Raw genomic sequence first — 19,372 nt, 5'->3', positions numbered from 1 at the left:
AAGGAGTCCTTGTAAAGAGTCGCGGCCGGGCGCCGTGGCTCACGCCTGTAATCCCGGCACTTTGGGAGGCCGAGACGGGTGGATCATGAGGTCAGGAAATCGAGACCATCATGGCTTACAAGGTGAAACCCAGTCTCTACTAAAAAAAAATACAAAAAAATTAGCCGGACTTGGTGGCGGCAGCCTGCAGTCCCAGCTACTCGGGAGGCCGGGACAGGAGAATGGCATGAACCCGGGAGGCGGAGCTTGCTGTGAGCTGAGATCGCGCCACTGCACTCCAGCCTGGGCGACAGAGCGAGACTCCGCCTCAAAAAAGAAAAAAGAAGAAGAACAAGAAGAATCGCAACCTAATTTAGTATAGAAACAAACTGTAAATCTGACTTGGGAATGTATCATGGTAACAAATAGCGGCGGTTCAGCCAATCACATCAGCCGAGTGTCAGTCAATGGCCGGCAGCCAGCTGTTCAAAACAAGTTCCAAGAAGGCAAATCCGGGCTGTAACCAGGTCTGTAACCAATCCAGCCACCTCTATACCTCACTTCTGTTTTCTGTATGTCACTTTTTTTCTCTGGCTATAAATATAACCCGCACATGTTGTGTGGCAGATCATTCTGAACCATTTTTGGTCTGGACTGCTGCCTGATTCTAGAACCACAAAAAAAGCCAATTAAGATCTGCAAACCCACATTTGTTGTAATTTTGTATTTTAACAGTTGTGCCCTACAAAAGACATTAAGCTGAAATTAATTAAAAATCATTTACGGTCATGATTAGGTCATAAAAAATTGTCAAACATAACAATTCTTCAAAAAAAGCTAAAAAGTATATTTTAAAAACATTGTTGATGGAAAAAAGAGTGCAAAAGTAGATAGGAAAATTATGTACAAAACTAAAAACAGAGGAGAAATTAAAAGTCAAATAATTGCATCAAACTGGAAACCTAGAAAAAATGGGTGATTTCCTAGTAAAAATACACATTAACAAAATGGGCACTGAAATAAGGCAACTATGAATATACCAATTAGCATAGAAAAGCTAAGAAAGGTCCTTAAAGATCTCCCAGTGGAAAAAGGCCCCAGGACCATCTGGGTCCATAGCTTAGTGTAAGCTGACTTAACTAAATGTGATTTTACACTCGTGCATTGCATACATACGATGGTGGTCCCATGAGATAAAAATGGAGCTGAAAAATTCCTTCCTAGCCATCTTGTCATAAGCTCATGGCTCAACGCATTACCTTTTCTCTGTTCTGATACCATGAAAGGAAAATAAATCTCAGGACCCCCAAATCACTAAGCCAAGGGAAAAGTCAAGCTGGGAGCTATGTCAGGCAAACCTGCCCTCATTCTATTCCTAAGATAGCTACAAAGATAAAAAGCTACATACCTCACTCACAATTTGCCCACAAAGAATTTCCTTTTGGACAAAGGACAGACAGCACTCAAAGTCATCCCTCACCTGAGACAGATGCATATCTGATTGCTTCCTCTGCCCTATTATTTATGTAAAAATGCAGATTCATTGAGCCAGACTAAATTGTGTATTCAGTGGAAGGCTGATGAAGGATTCAAAAGAATGCAACCTTTTGTCTCTAACCTACTTCTGACCTGGAAGCACCCCCACTTCCTGCTTCCAGTTGTCCCGCCTTACTGGGCCAAATGACTGTACATCTTACACGTCTCATGTATCCCTAAAATGTACAAAAGCAAGCTCTACCCTGGCCACCTTGGACACACGTCGTCAGGACCTCCTGAGGCTGTGTCATGGGCGTGTCCTTAATCTTGGCAAAATAAGCTTTCTAAATTGACTGAGACCTGTCTCAGATATTCTGGGATCACAATCTACAATCACCATGGTGTTATGGTTGACTACAGCATTCAGTACAGAGACATGCTGTACAGGTTCGTAGCCTGGGAGCAATAGGCTATACTATGTAACTTAGGTGTGGAGTGGGCTACACCATCTAAGTTTTATAAGGACACTCTACAGTGTTCACACAAAGATGAAATCACCTAAGGACAGATTTCTCAGAAAGTATAACATCGTTACGAGATGCCTGAGTGTATTTTAAATGGTCAAAGCCTAGGAGAAAAAAAGAAACTTAACTCTTGTTATGGGTTAATAACAAAGCTTAAGAGAGTTAACATATTTCATCTAATCTAAGATGCCAATGATTAAAAGACATTACTTTATGCACCATCACAAATAGGTTGCCAATTAAACCGACTTTCTGAATAACACACAAATGTGAATTTACTTCTATTAATGCCAGGAAAGTAAAATGAAAAATAAATTATGGTTTTGACATGTTAAAGCAAATACGGCGGGGGTTAGCCTGAGGCCTTCCCTAAGCAAACAGAAACCGAACTTGGAGGCATTTGAACTGACTTAAAAAAATTAACAAACCAACCACAGTCAATGCCAAAAAGCCCAGCAGCCAGCTGGCTGTATGACTAGGGACGCTGAGGGAACCATCCCCACAACAGGCGGTGGCCTAGCTGGAGCCACTGAGGAGCCTCACTTAGGGGCCACCCTAAGAGCTCGAAGCCCCAAGCCGATTTCCGTTCTGGTGCTTCCCGCGTGATTCATGAACCATTCCTTTGCTGAAATAAACTCCGCTTAAATTTATTTTACCTCAAATCCTTTTAACAGACAAAGTCCAGTATTTACACTTAAAATACGGTTGTGAAAACTCACATCTACATCTGCTCTTCAATATTTTTCAAGTACTTTAACACTCTAAGAAAAACGAGCCACTGGAACGCAAATAAAAGCAAGTCGTGGGGTGCGCGTCTCCCTGGGGCTCTCCATGTTGCCCTCAGGGTTTCTCCCTTCTCTGTCCCGGATCCACCCCAAACAAACCCAAATTGGTCAAAAATTAAAAAATGAAACAACTCAGGTATGCTGTAATAATGAATAACAAAGCCACTTAATGATGGGCCACTTTGTAAAATAAAATAAATACAACTTGAGAAAGTGGAGCGCGAGGCAGCGCGGCCTCCTCAGCACTGAGCCGGGACAGAAAGCTTTTTCCTCACCTTTCCTCGGGCAGCCTCGGGGACCATGAAGCCACAGCTTCCCCAGTCGTTCCTGAGGAGCTGAGGAGAAGGAGGCTGGGTCGTCCCTGGCCACGGTCCCCAGGTGTTCCTAGAGAGCCAGCGGCGTCTCCCGAGTGGGTCCTGAGGAGGAGGAGGCTGGGCCCTCTCAGGTGTCCCTGTAGGGATGACGGCGCCTCCTGCGTAGGTCCTGAGGAGACGGCTCGGCTCCGCCCCCTGGAGCCGCAGGCCGTCTGTGCCGGAACCCGGGCGCCGCTTGAGGTTCTGTGAGGCGGCATCGCGCCCCCTGACGGCCGTCGCAGGCGGTGCAGGATGCTCAGGTGCTCGCGGTCGAGCTGTGGCCTCGCCCCTCCGGTGGATCTCCGAAGTTCACTGTTCGGACAATTACACGCCATGACTTTTGAAAAACCAGCTAAGGCCGGGCGCGGTGGCTCACGCCTGTAATCCCAGCACTTTGGGAGGCCGAGGCGGGCGGATCGCGAGGTCAGGAGATCGAGACCATCCTGGCTAACACGGTGAAACCCCGTCTCTACAAAAAAAAAAAACAAAAAAAAATTAGCCGGGAGTGGTGGCGGGCGCCTATAGTTCCAGCTACTCGGGAGGCTGAGGCAGGAGAATCGCTTGAACCCGGGAGGGGGAGGTTTCAAGGAGCCTCCTCTAAACAGAAAAGACCGACCCCTAGTCAGTGTTTTATTTTCCCTATGACCGCAGGCCATGAACTTATGGAACAATAAGGTAATTAGGCTCTTGGACCCAGGGAAGTAGCTCCATGCCACCTGCCCTCATTTGCTGAGCATTTTGATTTCTCGGATCTGCTACTCAGTTTCCAGTCTCCTCCTCCCTGCCAATGCTGCCAGCGTGCCTCTTCTGCAAGCAGCAACCGCCTTCCACCTTCCATTCTCTACTCTTTAGCCATCATCTGGCTGGACTTTTCAGAATGGACTGCAAAGGAGAATAAACTGGCTGAGTCTGAGGGTGCACTCACGTGCAAAGTTGCAAGCTTTAATGTACCCATCTTGGCAGATTTTGGCTCCTTAGAGTTCTTTCTCATTTGGGGATCTCATGTGCCCTCTGATGAGGTGGGCTCACTGACTGTCTGCGCTGGTGGCATCTGGCAGCACCTTGTCACGTGCACCTAGGTAAGAACCTGGCTGCACCTGATGCTTAGCCAAACGGGGAACCCACAGTTCTGTGTATCAGGTGATGTTTAATCTCTGGAGGTTAATGAACGTGAGGGAGCGATACTGTCTGGGACTCTCCACATATTGCGTCTGAGTCACTGAAGGAAAAGAATGTGGGGTCTGTTTGCTGGGACTGGACACCTCCATAATCACATGCTCCATGAAATGCAGGCAGGAGATCTCGCTTTCTACCTCTGGGATGGGAGTGTGCAGTTTCAGAATGAGACTAGCCCACACAACTGACTATTTGGGAAAGAGAAATGAAATCAGATGCAGCAATTTAATATCCACTAAGATGATATCTTAATCACAAACACTCTTCTGGTTTTTAGAAATGTGAATGTTATTTACACTAGGTTAAAAAACCTGAATATCCAACAGCATGACACCGACTAAAGAAATACTGGTGCACTCTGGAACCTTGCACACCACTTATTGGCATGGGAACAATGGGAACACGCCTATACAAAGATGTGCATGGAAATTAGAAGAATGCAACACTGTAGAACAGATGTGACTAGGTGCATGATCAAGAGCACACAAGACCAAGCCTGCCTCTGCACACACAAGACAGCGCATGAGTCTGCACCACGTGACGGGACCACTGTGGAGCAAGCCTGGGAGATTCTGATGTAGGCAGCAGAGGCGTCACTTAGGGACCAGACTTCCGTGGGAAACCACCATCTCCTTCCAACCCAGATGCGCTTCGTGGCAAACGCGAGCAGATGAAGGTCATGTAGGAGACGAAAGAACTCGCTCCCCAAGCCCATAGGCCTTTGTCCTCCACCCATGGACCGAAGCATCTTGTTAGATGAGGGCCGCCTGCAGCCAGGGCCGGCGGAGAACCTGCCACGGAGCAGGTGTCCGTAAAGAACTGCTGACTGTCACTGTCCCTACTTGGGGGCCACTGGGGGATCTGATGCATCTCACTACCCTTTGTAAAGGAATTATTGAAAATGTCAGCCCTCTAACAAGGCATAGGTTGATTAGTTACAGGATTTAACATTTCTATTTTAAAAGGCAGCATTGAAGAATGTCTTTACAAAGGCTGTACAAAACCTGCCATATTCTTTGTCACACAGATTGACTCATGTGCAATGCAGCCATTTGATGAAACACTGGCATTTACCAGATGTAAACTTATTAGCAGACGACAACTAGAAATAGTGTGCTGGATGTGCCCGTTTATTTATATGAATGTAACCATCTCTCTAGATGCATCGAAAGATACACAACATGAGATCCACTTTATTTCTACAAGTTTATGATCAGGTGGTCAGGACAGGGAAAGAAGAGGAAAAAACTTTAAATCATGGACCTTTATTCTTAGACACCTTTATCCTACATACACAAGGGACGTGCATGGTTGAAATAACGGAAACAAGTGGATAAAAGTGAAAGTAACTTAAACAGCTTTACCCAGGAATGCCCAATTCAGGTGCTGCAGAGAAGAGCATGAGAACCGGGTGTCTTCAGGACAGGTGTGCATCTGGGAGCAGAGTGGGCGTTCATCAGCAGGGAGGAGCAAGGCCTGGGTCGGGGGACACTGGGGCTGCTGTCCCAGAGGCTGGCAGTGTAGCCCGGAACCCCCAAGACTTCACTGAGTCTCCCCTCAACCACCTAAACCAGAATAAACTGATGTAGCAGGACTCCTCAAACACTGTGCAGGGTCTCCATGTCCTCGATGGCCCCTGATGAGCCACAGTACCCTCAGGTCCTGGTGAAGGAGCTGGTGCTGCCTCCTGCCTTTCCCCACATGGGGTCCTGCAGCTCATCCCACACAGCCTCAGATTCCCTCTACAGAACCTGCCCACAGATGTCTTCCGAGACCGGCAATACTGGGAGGCCTGTGGCCCAGACCCAGGAGGAACCAGCTGAGAGGCTCCGTGGAGGTATCGCTGATGGTGTAACCAGAATGAAAATGCCCACTTCTGTTCTGCTCCCTGAGAACAACTGTCAAGCCAGCATGAGTTTCCAGTTGGAACTTTTCCTTTTCTCCCCATGTTTGTCACTGTTTTAATGGACATTGCCTGGCTATTAAATCCCCCGATGAACTCACTTTGAAAATTATCTATTGCACTGGGCACCCTTTCAGGAATCACTGAGTGTTAATTTTCTCAGTCTGAGTGATAATTTATGAGTCAAACAAGGACAGATCTGAAGCCAGAGGCTGCTCCTGTTGGGAAATCCCTGAGGATGATGTTCCAGGGAAGCCTCCAGCCTTGGGAGTCCCGTGGAACTGAGCCAGCCCAGGTCATGAAAGGAGCTGGTGCCAGACACTGACTGGGGACCTGCTGGCCTCTGGGCAGACCGCTCTGTCCCTGCACTTGGCCTGCCAGGTATCCCTGTGCAGTCATACCAAGTCCTGTGCTCAGAAGGGCCCCAGAGTAGTTTAAAGCTCTGCTGCCACCCCTGGAAGCTCATGATTTTGAACAACAACAACAAAAAAAACCCCACATTTTCCACTCAGCCCCACACATTATGTGGCCTGCACAGCTGTCAGGCTGTGGCCACAGTGCTGGCATCTCTCACACAATGAAGGCTGCTGGAGTCCTGGCTTCTAGTTCTTCAGTAATCAAGAGCAATGGTCTTACCTGTTCACAGGTCCCCGTGGCTGCTTTACAGAAAGCAGGAAGTGGCCACTTCAGCCACACGGCTGCATTTCCAGCTCAGTCCAGGCAGAGGTGCACCCTGCCTTGCACCTCTGCAGATCCTGAGGGGAGTCCTTAACTGAGCCAGGGCGAGTCCTGGGGGCACTCTGCCCCTGGGCAGGCCCTGAATCTCCTCTGCTCCCACACTCTAGAGTTCAACGGGTCTCAGGGGCTCTGCCTGAGGACTGCCCTTCAACCAGGTATTCGTAATTTCCCCAAGACCCAGGCTTGCTGAGTCACTCAGTTACCTGAATGCCTTTTTCACAAAGGGATGACTGTGCTGCTCCGTCTTCCTTCTTTTTTGTTTGCGAGGCCACAGGGAAATCTGGATCCTCTGGTGAAAAAGCAAATCCAGTTGCTGCTGCTGCTGCTGCTGCTGCTGCTGCTGCTGCCGCCGCTGCCGGTTCTTGTAAATGTCCTCACTTGGTTTCTGGGCAGCAACTTCCTTGACTTGCCTGGGGAGCGGATCTGAGCTGCATTTACCAGGCCATGCCCAGGGGAAGTGATCAGTGTGGGACCGTGAAGCTGGATTTCCCCAGGAGCTCCCTCCAACCTTCTGGGATGATGATAAGACTTGGGATGAACCAAGGATCTCGAACCATGGGACAATGTGAAGTCTAGACCTAGTGGAGGAAGAGAAAGGCTACGGGAAGGGCAGGCTTCACGTTACTGAGCATCCGCTACCTGCCACACACTTTCACGTGGCCTTATTCTGTGTGTTTCTCACAGCACCCTTGAGAAATAGAGACTACGATCACATCTTTTACATAAAAGAAAACCAGCATCCAGGGAGGCGAAGTCCCTTGCTCACAGACTGTCATGTGGGAAGCTCTCTGGATGCAATGATGTCCTCCAGTTGCAGTACCAGGCAAGCTGTCCCAGAGTTCATGGAGCGGAAAGGCTCGAGAAGCAACTGAGGATGCTCGAATCACAGGTTTATAAAATCCATTCGTAAAACACAGCAAGAAGCTGAGGGAAGGAGATGGGAGGGCCGTATGACCTGATTCCTGTGCTGTCAACATTCATCGGTTCTCTTCTTTCTCTGCTAGTCAACCTCACCCACTCAGGTGTGACCACGAGGACCAGAGCCGAGGTCTGGGCAAGAGTGCTCACAGCTGAAGGGCTTATGACACACACCGGCTCAACGGGACAGACATGGGACAAGTGTGCCTGATCATGGTGGAGTTGCCAAGAAGCAGCTGTCGCACTGCCATGGGTTCTACGTGTTTCTTGGGCAGAGGACGCATGGGACCAGAATGGGCACCAGGAATGGTGGTGAACAAAGGCCCCATGGTTCTGCATGTTTAGGTGTCTCTTGTATAAAGGCACATTGTGAATTGAACATTTAGTGCCCAGGAGCCTCATGCATATTAAGTATCTCTTGGCCCTTGTGTCTCTTCCTTCCCACATGTAACATACCTGTTCTCTGTAACTATCTATTCTGAACGTATCTAAAAACCATGTCTTGCCTGTGTTATACAAACCACATGCATACTCACATTGTCTGATGTAGCTGAATGTTTCCTAAGGCCAGGGCACATTTCAGGGTCACATAGAGTGGAGAGAGGGACCAAAATAGCCTTGCTCTGTTTGACTCCCAGCTGAGATGTCTGCTGGGCAGCACTGCCTCTGTAGGCTCTAATGGGGGAAGGGAGCTCAGGGGAGCCTCTGGGGCTGGGCAGGCTACCAGAGGGTGTGGACATTTGGGTGGACCCTGACGGAGGACTTGGGTTTCCTTGGGAGGAAGTGTCAGGAAGGGCATCTGGGGCTGAGAGCACTGTGTGGGCAACAGAAGGAAGGAAACTGTGGCTGGCTGGGAAGGGATGGTACGGGGGACAGGGTGAGACTTCTGGCCCTGGGTGCTCAGATGAAGACCTGGGGTTGCCTAGTGGCTGGAAACACACACCAGCTGTGGCAACTTGACCTCTGGGATGTGAGTGTGCAGGCAGCTGCCGAGAACGGCTGTGGATTTGGAGATGTGGCTACAGGGAATGGGCAGTGGATTCATCTGGGAATTCTGCAGGCAGTGGCCCATAGAGGAAACAGCCTGGAAATGAGACTGCAGATACGTGCTAAAGAGGCTGGAGGAACAGTGACCCCAGTACAAGTTTATGGATCTTATCCACAATCTAAAGAAATGGAAGCCAAATGGCTTTTGAAATTCTAAAATACATGCAGAGGAAGAGTAATGCTTCATGGGAGAGCCAGACTCTTACTGGCAGTGACGCTACACGGTAGAGCTCTGTTCCTCCTGCCCATGTCTGTGGTTGGGGCTGGGGTAGTGCATAAACATGACGCTGATGAGGCCCAAGCATTGTTGGAAAAGAATTCAGCAGCTGCCACAAGAATCTTGAATCCGTGGGTGAAGACCTTGACTTTCTCTGGGACCAATGTGGTCAAGAACAAAGTAAAATCATGACAACAAACACTGTTCAGTTTTCCAAATATAAGCTATTTTAAATACTCTACATTTACCCTCAAAGACTGACATAACTTAGAATAACTTTTATAACAGCAAGGATGAGAACTAAAACTTAAATTGTAAATACAATTTTATTTATAAAAACAAAGTTAGCTTCAAATATTTTATGAACTAGTAGAATTTTAACCTTTTGTCACATTTCCCAGCAAAGTAAATAATTCTTTTTTTCACTTCTAGTCTGTCAGAAGAAAAGTCTTAGCTCAAATGGCCAGAAACTCTGACGCACACTCCGGAAGCTGCTTCCGGGGCACCTCAGCATGGCCGCTTTTCCATGCCGGCCCTCACTTGATGCGGTCCAGCAGGGTTGAAATTGTTTGAAATGCTTGTTCCCAGTGCGGTAAAGAAATAGCACTTGAATGTAAATTTAATTTCCTCAGCAAGGCCATTTTTATTTTTTTTTAATTTCTGCAGAAAATGTACACTCGCCAGCAGTTTTGCCACAACAGTATACTGAGCAAAGGAGACAGTGTCATTTATAACCTGACGCATCCACCCTACTGCTGTGTCCAGTTTCCAGTGGCTGGAACGGGACCTCACATTCTGTATTTGTCCCGATTGGCTAGCAACTTAGAACTTTTTTAAAGAGGAAAAGGCAGAGGAGAACAAAGGAAGGAGGAAGTAACTTGTGGAATGCTGAAAAAAGTAAAAACACCTTCGAGTAAAGAAGAGGAACAGGCAATGACCTAAAGCTTGCTTGGACTAGTATAAGCATGCCAGGGCAAATATTTAGGCTAAATTGTGGGAGCTAAGAACATAAAGTACATTGATTTCTTTATTAGGGCTAGCAGATATTTAAGAATGTTAGCACGGGTCTTTGAATAAATTTTGCTTCTAAGAGAAGTTACTATTTATTTCTAATGAGATGGGAAGGAAAGTCTTTGAAGAGGAAACTCTACTTTTTACAGAAGTAGGAACTTAGACTTACAGTTTGCACATTGACAAACTTGTTTTCCTTCCGTACACGAGGGGTTTATGATCCTCTGTTGCAACTGATTTGTCTTATGTAACTTCAAGAGTTACTCGTCAACCTACTTACTATTCTGGACTTTTCGGGAAATGGCAATTTGCCTTCCTATTTAGTGGGAGGGACACTGAGACTGCACTTTTTCTTACCCCAAGAAGTGCACGGTGTCATTGCAATGTCAACATCAGGGAGATCTCAGCCAGTGTGAAATAATTAGATCGTCCACTCAAAATTCTTAGTTACATCTTTTTAATATTTTCTTCACACTTCTTAAAAGCAGCTTAACAAGAATTGCATTAGTCAGGGTTTTCCAGAGAAACAGAAAAGAGAGGAGGAGATGTCCAGAATTGTCTCGTGTGATTACAGAGGCTAGAATCCAAGGAAGAGTGGCTTGAGTCCAGGGGCAGAATTCCCTCTTCCCCTGGGAGGTCAGTATTTCTTCCTTTAAGGCCTTCAACTGATTGGATGAGACCCACCCACATTATGGAGCATAATCTGCTTTACTAAAAGTATACTGGCTTAAATGCTAATTTCATCTGAAAAATACCACAGAATAATGTTGACCAAGTACTGGGAGAGGCCTTTTCCTTCATCTTTTGGTAAATTGCAATCCCTGGGTATATTCACATTTGAAACTCAAATGTGGGCATTGGCTACTGCAGGCCTTTCCCGGCTCAATGGAGTGCAGACAGGGGAGGCACAGGAGTGACTCCACTGTGTGAAGAGAAGACTGATGAGGGCCCATGTGGCACCTCAGGTAGGGTCTGCACTGTCTGGACTATGGTCAGGCCCCTGCCTGAGCCAGCCCTGCTCTCCAGTGTCCCCAAGGAATCCCTGAAACTAGCATCTCATGGAGGAGATAGACGATGCAGGAGGTCCCCTGTGCCCAGAACAAATGGTACAACAAGGCCCCTCTGTTCCCCAAACTGGTCTCAGCAAACTTTCCCCACAGCTTGGATCTGGGCAGCTCACAGGGCCCAAACCTCATGACCAGCAGTGCTGGACCAGGGGGCTAGAAGGGCAGGTGGAGCTCTCTGATGACATTGTGGAGAGGAGGGGTGCCGGGCAAGGGGTGTCCAGGCAGGGGGTGTCCAGGATACTGTCCTGAGAGCCTCTCCAGGGACAGATGCCCTTAGGGGCAGAGAAAAAGGCAACCGGGGAGACCAGAGGAGTCTGATGCAGATAAGGAGGGGCTCTGTCCAGTGATGTTTCTCCACAATGAGCTCTCCCGAGGACAAGCAGCCTGCTTTATAGGCGAACCCCATTGCACAGTGAGAAGACGAAGACTTCGGAACTCAGTTCCCTAGAACCTCTTCTCTCCCTGCATAGTCCGGCCCTATTGGTCCCTTCTGGTCTTGAAGGTCTTTAATGGAAACAAACCGCAAGGCCAAGGCCAGACCTGCCTGCCCTTCATGCCCATCTCCACGCAGCAGTTGAGTGTGGACTCTGCCTCCCCTGTCCCCCGAACAGTGAGTCCCCACCAGCCCCTCCAGGGACACAGTGCCAGCTCTGCAGCCCTCCCATCCCTCTGTCCATTCTTCTGCAGGCAGGATGGGCACTGTGGCTGGAGGAAGGCTCCTGATCCACTGCTTTGGGGGAATCTCTGATTTAGCACTCCACAGGGAACCCAACAGAGATCCAAAGCTGAGTACGGATTCAGAGAAAGAACATTTCTGCTAAGCTTAGGGCCTCAGGGAGGACAGATAATTATCTAAAGTTGACAGAACAATCAATTTTCTGGGTCTGAAGTTTACAAACAAAATCCCTCTCCTTTGAAGGCAGATTAGCCATGGAAACACCTTCTACATTGCCTGCCTAAATGGTTTGTCTCTGCAATCAATCTCTCTATTCTTTAAAACAGAATTAGGATAATTTGCATAATTGTTTCTTGTCTCAGAGAAATCTTACAGGGAGGCTGTCTCCAGATAACAGGCTGCTCCTGGAGCAGCCTGGGCTCCAGGCTGGGTTGTTTCCCGACGCCAAACCCACAGGCTCTAGGTCAGAGGCTCCACCTGGGACCCCTGCACCCTCCCTGCCAGGGCGGCAGAGGGAGCCACATCCCTGAAAGCCTCTGGCTTAGGGACCTCAGAATTCCCACCTCTGATAAGGTAATGAAATGAGCCAAAGTTGGTAAAAATCTGTGAACAAACTGGCCTACAGTGGCTAAAACCAGAGGGAGAAAAATAACGTGATAAACCCCCAAACCAGCCATCCTGGGAAGTTTCAAGGGGCTGCTGTGCTCCTGACTCCTCCCCCGCCTCCTGGAGCTGCCCAGGTGAGCAGACAGAGTTTTGAGAGCTGGTTCTGAGACTCTGTGCCTGGAGACAGACACTGGGCAGGGACCCCCAACTTTCCTGTCCGTTTTGCGCAGAGAGTCAGAAACAGATGCTGGGGAGCAGCCAGCAAGCAGAGGGCTGCCTGTCTCAGAGGCAGGAGCATCCACCTCAGAGGATGCCAGGTGGGGAGATCCTGGACTGTGCCACCCCCAGGGGCTCTGCAGCCCTCCCGGTGCTCAGTTATCAGGCTCACTACCTCTCAAAGGTGTCTCTTCTCTCTGTGGACATTCGTCTGTCACAGCTGCAAGATTCTCACAATAAACTTGCTCTCCAAATTCCTAAAAGAATTGCTTGCTCCAGTTTAGCCAGCTAAGACTTTCTTGGATAATGGCATAATCTGGAAGGATATTTAACAAATTCGTTTAAACTGGAAATTATTGACTCTATGGTGAGTCAGGAAAAACCACATTCACAATATTCAACAGCAGCGCTGGGCCTTGATGCTCCAGGGCAGTGCAGGGATTAGAGATCTGAGAGGTTTCATGACGCTTCTCAGGGGAATACATGGGTTCTGGGTTCTTCTAAGGAAGCTCCCTCCATGCCAGCCACCACCTTGTCTCTGCTGGGGAAACAGTGGTCCAGGGGCCCTCAACTGCAGGGAAATTATTGAACCTCCCAATGTCACTGCATCTCCTCTGGGTCTTCTTTTATTCCTTCTTTCCCCCTAGAAAACACCTTCTGACACACGCCCGCTCTGCCTGTCTGTCCCCTGCTGCGGCCAGACAGGGAGCAGGGAAGAAATCCAGTGTCTGGACTGTTTGCTGGTCTGCAGAACCTGTTCTCTCGCAGTATCTGTTTTCCAATGCAGATTTTCACAGTTCCCTAAAGAAACTTAAATTTCCATTCCCAGAATGACTTCATTTCCTGACACCCAGCCCAAATTCACGTGAGTTTGCAGCCGATGTGGCAACATAGCCACTTGGGTGGGGGTGAACATCACAGCGCACAATTCTGCAGTTCAGATTTGGGTTTACCTTAGCACTTAGTGCAACTTTGCATTTGGCAGAGGTCTTTCTCTTTTGTAGTCCTTGCCACCAACCTCATTACTTGTGAGAGTCTGCCTCATGCCTGTCTGCTCAGCAGATGAGAGACCTTGAGGCCTGGGAAGATCCCGCCCTCCTTGGCTCTGTATTCCTAGGTAGTGCATTGCCTAGTGGTTGGTTAATTTTAGGTGTCAACTTGACTAGGCTGAGGGAAACCCAGATAGCTGATAAAACATGCTAAGTGCGCCTGAGAGGGCATTTCCAGAAGAGATCAGCATTTGAATCAGGGGAGTGAGTGGGAAAATCCATGCTCCCCAAAGGCTGAGGGCCCAGATAGAACAAAAAGGCAGAGGAAGGGTGAATTCTTTCCTTATTCTGGATCTGAGACATCCATCTTCTCCTGCCCCCAAACATCAGAACTCGGGGTTCTCAGGCCTTTGGACTCCGGGACGTACACCAGCAACTTCCCTGGTTCTCCAGCTTGTAGACGGCAGCAGGACTTCTCATCCTCCATAATCACATGAGCCAAGTCACATGAAAAATCCCTGCTCATCCCTCTCTCTGTGTACATCCTATTGGTTCTGTTTCTATGGAGAACCCTAATACAACTGGCACAGACTAGCTGCTCAACAAGCATTTTATTTCTGAATGACTGAGATGTTTGAGCAGCTTCCAAACTTACATACCTGTGTTTCCATTAAAGCCATTGTTTAGGAGGCCGATGGCAACAAAAGGTTGAAACATGGCAAAATCAGGGGCAGTTGATTTGAGTTATACCGTGATGTGTTTACATTTGTACTATGATAGGGATTTATTGCAAGGACTTAGGAATGCTGGCCTCTAAAAGCTGGAAAAGTGTATTTTGTTGGGGAGGCCTGGGAGCCCCCATCTCACACACAGGAGGGAAGACACAAGGGGAAGCACTCGTGACGATGAACGAGATGTTGTTCCTGCCAGACGCAGGTCCTTGCCGTGTGTGTGCATAACCTCATTTCATTCGATAGCAACTCAGGAGGAGGAAATCATTATTAACTGTATTCTTTTATGTACAGAAGCTGAGGCTTGAAAGTGAAAATGACACAGCTGTTCATGGTCTTGCTGGCATTGGAGCCAGGAGAGAAAAATCCCTTGGTAAAATCTCCCAGCTGAATGGGGAAATGGGAATATATCCCGCATGGCCCAAAGAGACAATGGCTGGAAGTGGTCACAGTCCTCGAGGGGGAGCTGTGTGGTGGCCAGGCTGTGGTCATGAAGACACAGCGGCGTGGGAGGCTGAGGGTCGCTGGGGATGCTGGCTGGAATGTTTCTGTTAATAGCTGGAGCTCCAGAGCCTGTCCTGGAAGAGGGATGGGGACCTGGTCCTGGGAGGGTTTGTAAACCGGCATGAGCACATGTCAGGGTGTAGCTCTGACGTCAGGACCCTGGCATGACTACAATAGACATCACACAAATGGGGCAAGAAGACCAAGCCTCCCCACGGTACAGCTGCTCAACCATGTGGGGGGAGCTGTGGTGAAACACAGGACTCACTTAGAAAGATCCAGAGAGAGAATCCACCCACAGAAAACCTGGAGAGGATTTTGAAACTTCCTACAGGAAATCCAGGAGAAAAGGAGTCCTATTCAGTGATGGGAGGGGGGGCAGGTCAGGGGCCGCATCGGAAGGCAGTCGTCTGAAGGGATGCACGGATTCACGATGGAGGTGCTGAGACAGCCACAGGAGGTGATGAGTGGGGGCCATGGGGATTGGGTGGGGAATCTAGAGCTGGGACACTCTGGTTTTGATGGAAGGAGCATCGCCCTAGGAAGCAAAGACACAGATTCGAGTCCAGGCCTGGAGCAACCTTCAATCACCCTTAAGCCCTCTGAGTTTCTGCGTCTGTGAAATAAGCATAATGATTCCCACCTCACAGGGGCAGGGGCAGGGGCAGGACACTGTGAGATTGTAAGGGTCGGTGTCCCTCTTCGCATGGAGTCAGCAGCCGGCTGGGCTGAGGGAGGTGTTTCTGTCCTTAGGTGTCGCAGGCTGGCTCTCGTGCATCCTTCCTTCCACTTCTCCCCACCTGCATCCACACAGGGAATACACTACCTCTATAAAACGCTTGCAAGGGGCCACTGTTCTCAGCATTTCACCTGTCAACCTCACTTAAGCCTTAAACAGCCTATGATGAGGTTCTGATAGTGTCTCCCTTGGCCCGCTGGAAGGCCCAGTGCTGAAGGATGACTGGGCACCCCGGCTCTTGGGATGGTCAAAGGCTCTCACCTGGACAGGGAGGACCCCCTCCTCTCCCTGGGCCTTCTGCTGCCCTGAGCCCCTACTGCTCTCTGCCACAGACTCGGGAGGGAGCATGAGCTGCATCCAACAGGCTGCAGCAGGTCCCGGACTCTCAGCACCCAAGACCAGACAGAGGCAGTGCCTCGGCTACAGTAAAGGCCTAGCGACCCGGGTGGGCATGGGGCACACGTTCCTACTCTGGCATTAGAGGTCATGCCACTGCTTGTCTTTACCATTCTACCCAGTGTCCTGCGAGGACTTGGTCCTCAGGTGGGTCACAAGTCTCCAGTCCATTAATTAACTGGTCGGAAGTGAGTCCCGGTCTATCCCTGTGAGGAGCAGGGGGACTGGCACCTCATTTCCTCATGGACTCATGGCCCTACACAACGACACGCCTGGCCTTCCTGGACCCATGCACTCAGTCCAGAAGGACATTTGCTTTGAGCTCGCCTGGTGGATGGGGTGCCCCTGAATATCAAACCATCTGTTGACATTTCCACCATCAGAAAGTTCCTCCAGGCAGCGCCCAGCTAGTGCTCCAAAGAGGTGCAGAATCTCTGAGAAATTATGTGGTCCACAGTCAACAGCTAACAACATTTATAGGACCTTATTAGCCACCAGCTTGGAGAAGGCCGGTGTCCAGAATAAATCAAATCCTTCATAATTGTCAGACGGTGGTGACTCGGTCAAATCTCGGTCAAAAGATGCTCTGGCCAAAGTCAACAGAGAGCAGAAGCAACTTGCTTTTGCTGGTCCCTCAGCAAGACCACACAGGGAGATTTGCAGGCAATAAACAATGTTGCCTAAAACTTTCCCGTGAGGTGGGAATTGTTTTCATCCAGATAAGAAGGTGCCGGCCCAGGGGAGGTGTGGGTGGCCAAGCCAGGGATGGAGCCCTCACGTGGCCTCAAGAGATCAGCACCCAGGAGTCAGCTCTCTCCACGGCACGCTGAAACGGCTCCACGCCTCTGCTGGTGTTTTTATAGGAACCCCTTTTGTGTGTTTGCTTCCTAGCTCAGACTTGAGTCAAATGGTCTATTAATTAGGGTAGATTTAGTCACTCCTGACATCAGCTTGTGTGGTTCGAGCAGCCCAGGGGGAAGAGACAGGGCCTCCTTTATGCAGACCCCGCAGTCTTCAGAGGACTGGACACAGCCCTGGCCCTGCTGCTGTCTGCCGTGCCTTTTGCTCCCTGGGTTTCATTCCTCGGTCTGTACCTTGAATATAAGGAGATCCGTTTGTACATTTTGCTCTCGTGCATTATACCAAAGGAAAAAAGAAGATAGTAGTTTAAAGCTCCCAACACTTTTCATGTTCTGAGCCTTTAGGTCTCCCATATGGTAGAGAATCCACAAATATCAGAGGACCCCAAACCTCGCCCGAGATGAAACAGCTTTGAGGCTTCCAGGGATCCCTCAGAAGGCTGCACCCAGGCCGGCCACACGTGAAAACGTGATGGCTCTTTTCTTCTCTGTTCACTGTGGTTTTATCAGACAGAGCTCTAAACCAGTTTATTCAATGACATGGAGTGATTCTCTCCTGTCTCTGCTTGTCCAGTGTGTGACAAGAGTTGAGAAGTGGGGAGACACAGGGGGCACATTGAATGCAGGTGGTCTTACCCGCCTCACTCAGGATGCACGTCTTGCCTGGCTAGGCTTGGCCTCCTCTGCACTGTGTGCCCCTCTAAATGAAGCGTGACCCTTCTTCCCCCACCTCATTGGTGGTTCTCTGCCCCCATGAGCTCAGCCAGCTGCTTCCCTGACACATGCAGGTCCTAGCCTGGACGAGACAGAGCAACAAAGGCCGAGTGGGGACGAACACTGGCCTGGCTTTCAGGTCCACCTTTGCCTCATGCAGATGCTTCTCTACCCTTTATGATTGAGATCCTGGAGCAGGGGATCACCTAGTTGTAAGGACCATAAAGTGGAGAAGGAGCAGGGAGAGGTTAGGACCATTGCTGCAAGCTCCTGGTGTCCCTGACAGTGAGAGAGGCAGGACACTCGCCTGGGCTGGGCCTGAGGATGCTGCTTTCTCCTCTGCATGCCTGGGGTCCAACGAGGGTCATGGGACCCAGGAATGTCTCTGCAACTCTGTCTGTAAACATCCAGGAGCTAATTGTGACCTGGAAGTCATTCGGAACTCAGCACAGAGGCCTTCAGAAGTCCCTGCCTTCAGATAAGGGCAGGTGCTTACTCCTCTCCCAGTGGCTAGCACTGTTAAAACAGACTTTTTTTTTTCTATAGCCAACATCATAACAAATGATGAAATACTCAATAACTCCCCCTAAAACGGGGAGAAAGGGAAGGGTTTCTGTTTTTGTTTTCATCTCTTCTAGTGAGCATTGGGCTGGGAGGTTCCAGCCAGTGCAAAGAGATGAGGAAAAGAAAAGTATAAATATTGGAAAGAAATAAGTAAAACTATCCTCATTTACAGGTGAAATGAGGTGGCAAATCCTAAGGGATACACAAAAAATCAACTTGAACCAATAAGTGAATTCTGCAACATCACAGGACACCAAGTCAATGTGTAAAGATCAGTTGTATTTCTATATACTACTGATGACTAATTTAAAACATCACAGGACACCAGGTCAACATATAAAGATAGGCTGTATTTCTATATACTGCTGATGACTAATTTAAAATGAAGTCAAAAATACTATCTATAATAGTAAAATCAAATACTTAGGGATAAATTTCACAATATATGTGAAAACCTCTACACCAAAAATTATCTGAGAGATATATCTCTAAATATACCATGTCTAATTCTTCACAAATTGATCTAATCATTCAATGAAATCTCAATTGGAGTCCCTGTGGACTTTTCCTCTAAATTAACAGGATGATTTAGAAGTTCATAGAGAAGTGAAGGTCTAAGGGCAGCCACAGCCATCTGGAAAGGAACGGCACCATCAGAAGAGTTGTCAAATCTTGCACCAGTAAGGCCATAAAGAAATAGCTCACTGGCATAGAGCAGAGATTACAGAAATAGGCTGACAGGCACCATCCCATGATTTTCAACAAGCAGGCCAAAACCACAGGGGGAAACATGGTACTGAAATAACTGGATATCAGGCCAGGCGTAGTGGGGCTCATGCCTGTAGTCCCAGGACTTTGGGATGCCAAGGTGGGAGGATTGCTTGGGCCCAGAAGTTTGAGACCAGCGTGGGCAACGTCATAAGACTCTGTGTCTCTACACAGAGATGTAGGCCAGGCACGGAGTTGCACACTGAGGCAGGAGGATCCCTTGAGCCCAGGGGTTTCAGGCTGCAGTAAGCTGTGATCGCAGCTTGGGCGATAGAGTGAGATCCTGTCTCTAAAATATAAAATATATAAATAAATAAAACAAAACTGGATATCCACATGAAAAGAAAAAAGAATCTTGACTCCTCCTTCTCATACCTTCGAAACTGAGAGGTTAGGCAAGGGTTTCATAGAGAAG

At 48.7% G+C, this 19,372-nt stretch overlaps 1 long non-coding RNA gene across 1 annotated transcript in view, besides 2 other annotated features; it reads right to left on the bottom strand.

Moving 5' to 3' along the window:
- The window catches only part of FAM157B (family with sequence similarity 157 member B), a 55,218-nt gene extending 47,706 nt beyond the window's left edge, over positions 1 to 7,512 (bottom strand). The window contains exons 1-4 of the long non-coding RNA NR_146178.1: positions 7,138 to 7,512; positions 6,833 to 6,951; positions 5,658 to 5,727; positions 3,040 to 3,586 (exon numbers count right to left, since the gene is read on the bottom strand). This is a non-coding gene — a long non-coding RNA (family with sequence similarity 157 member B). The remainder of the gene's footprint in view (positions 1 to 3,039; positions 3,587 to 5,657; positions 5,728 to 6,832; positions 6,952 to 7,137) is intronic.
- Positions 1,024 to 1,635: an enhancer, noted in NCBI's record as "H3K27ac hESC enhancer chr9:141113183-141113794 (GRCh37/hg19 assembly coordinates)". NCBI's record gives its function as "activates a minimal SCP1, AML or CMV promoter by ChIP-STARR-seq in naive H9 embryonic stem cells {active_cell/tissue: H9 hESC(naive)}" and the evidence as "EXISTENCE:reporter gene assay evidence [ECO:0000049][PMID:30033119]".
- Positions 2,862 to 3,475: an enhancer, noted in NCBI's record as "H3K27ac hESC enhancer chr9:141111343-141111956 (GRCh37/hg19 assembly coordinates)". NCBI's record gives its function as "activates a minimal SCP1, AML or CMV promoter by ChIP-STARR-seq in naive H9 embryonic stem cells {active_cell/tissue: H9 hESC(naive)}" and the evidence as "EXISTENCE:reporter gene assay evidence [ECO:0000049][PMID:30033119]".
- Positions 7,513 to 19,372: the final 11,860 nt, after the last annotated feature.

The sequence above is a fragment of the Homo sapiens genome, chromosome 9 (genome assembly GCF_000001405.40).
Source record: "Homo sapiens chromosome 9, GRCh38.p14 Primary Assembly".
Taxonomy (NCBI): Eukaryota; Metazoa; Chordata; class Mammalia; order Primates; family Hominidae; genus Homo; species Homo sapiens.
This window is presented reverse-complemented; position numbering and strand designations above follow the sequence as displayed.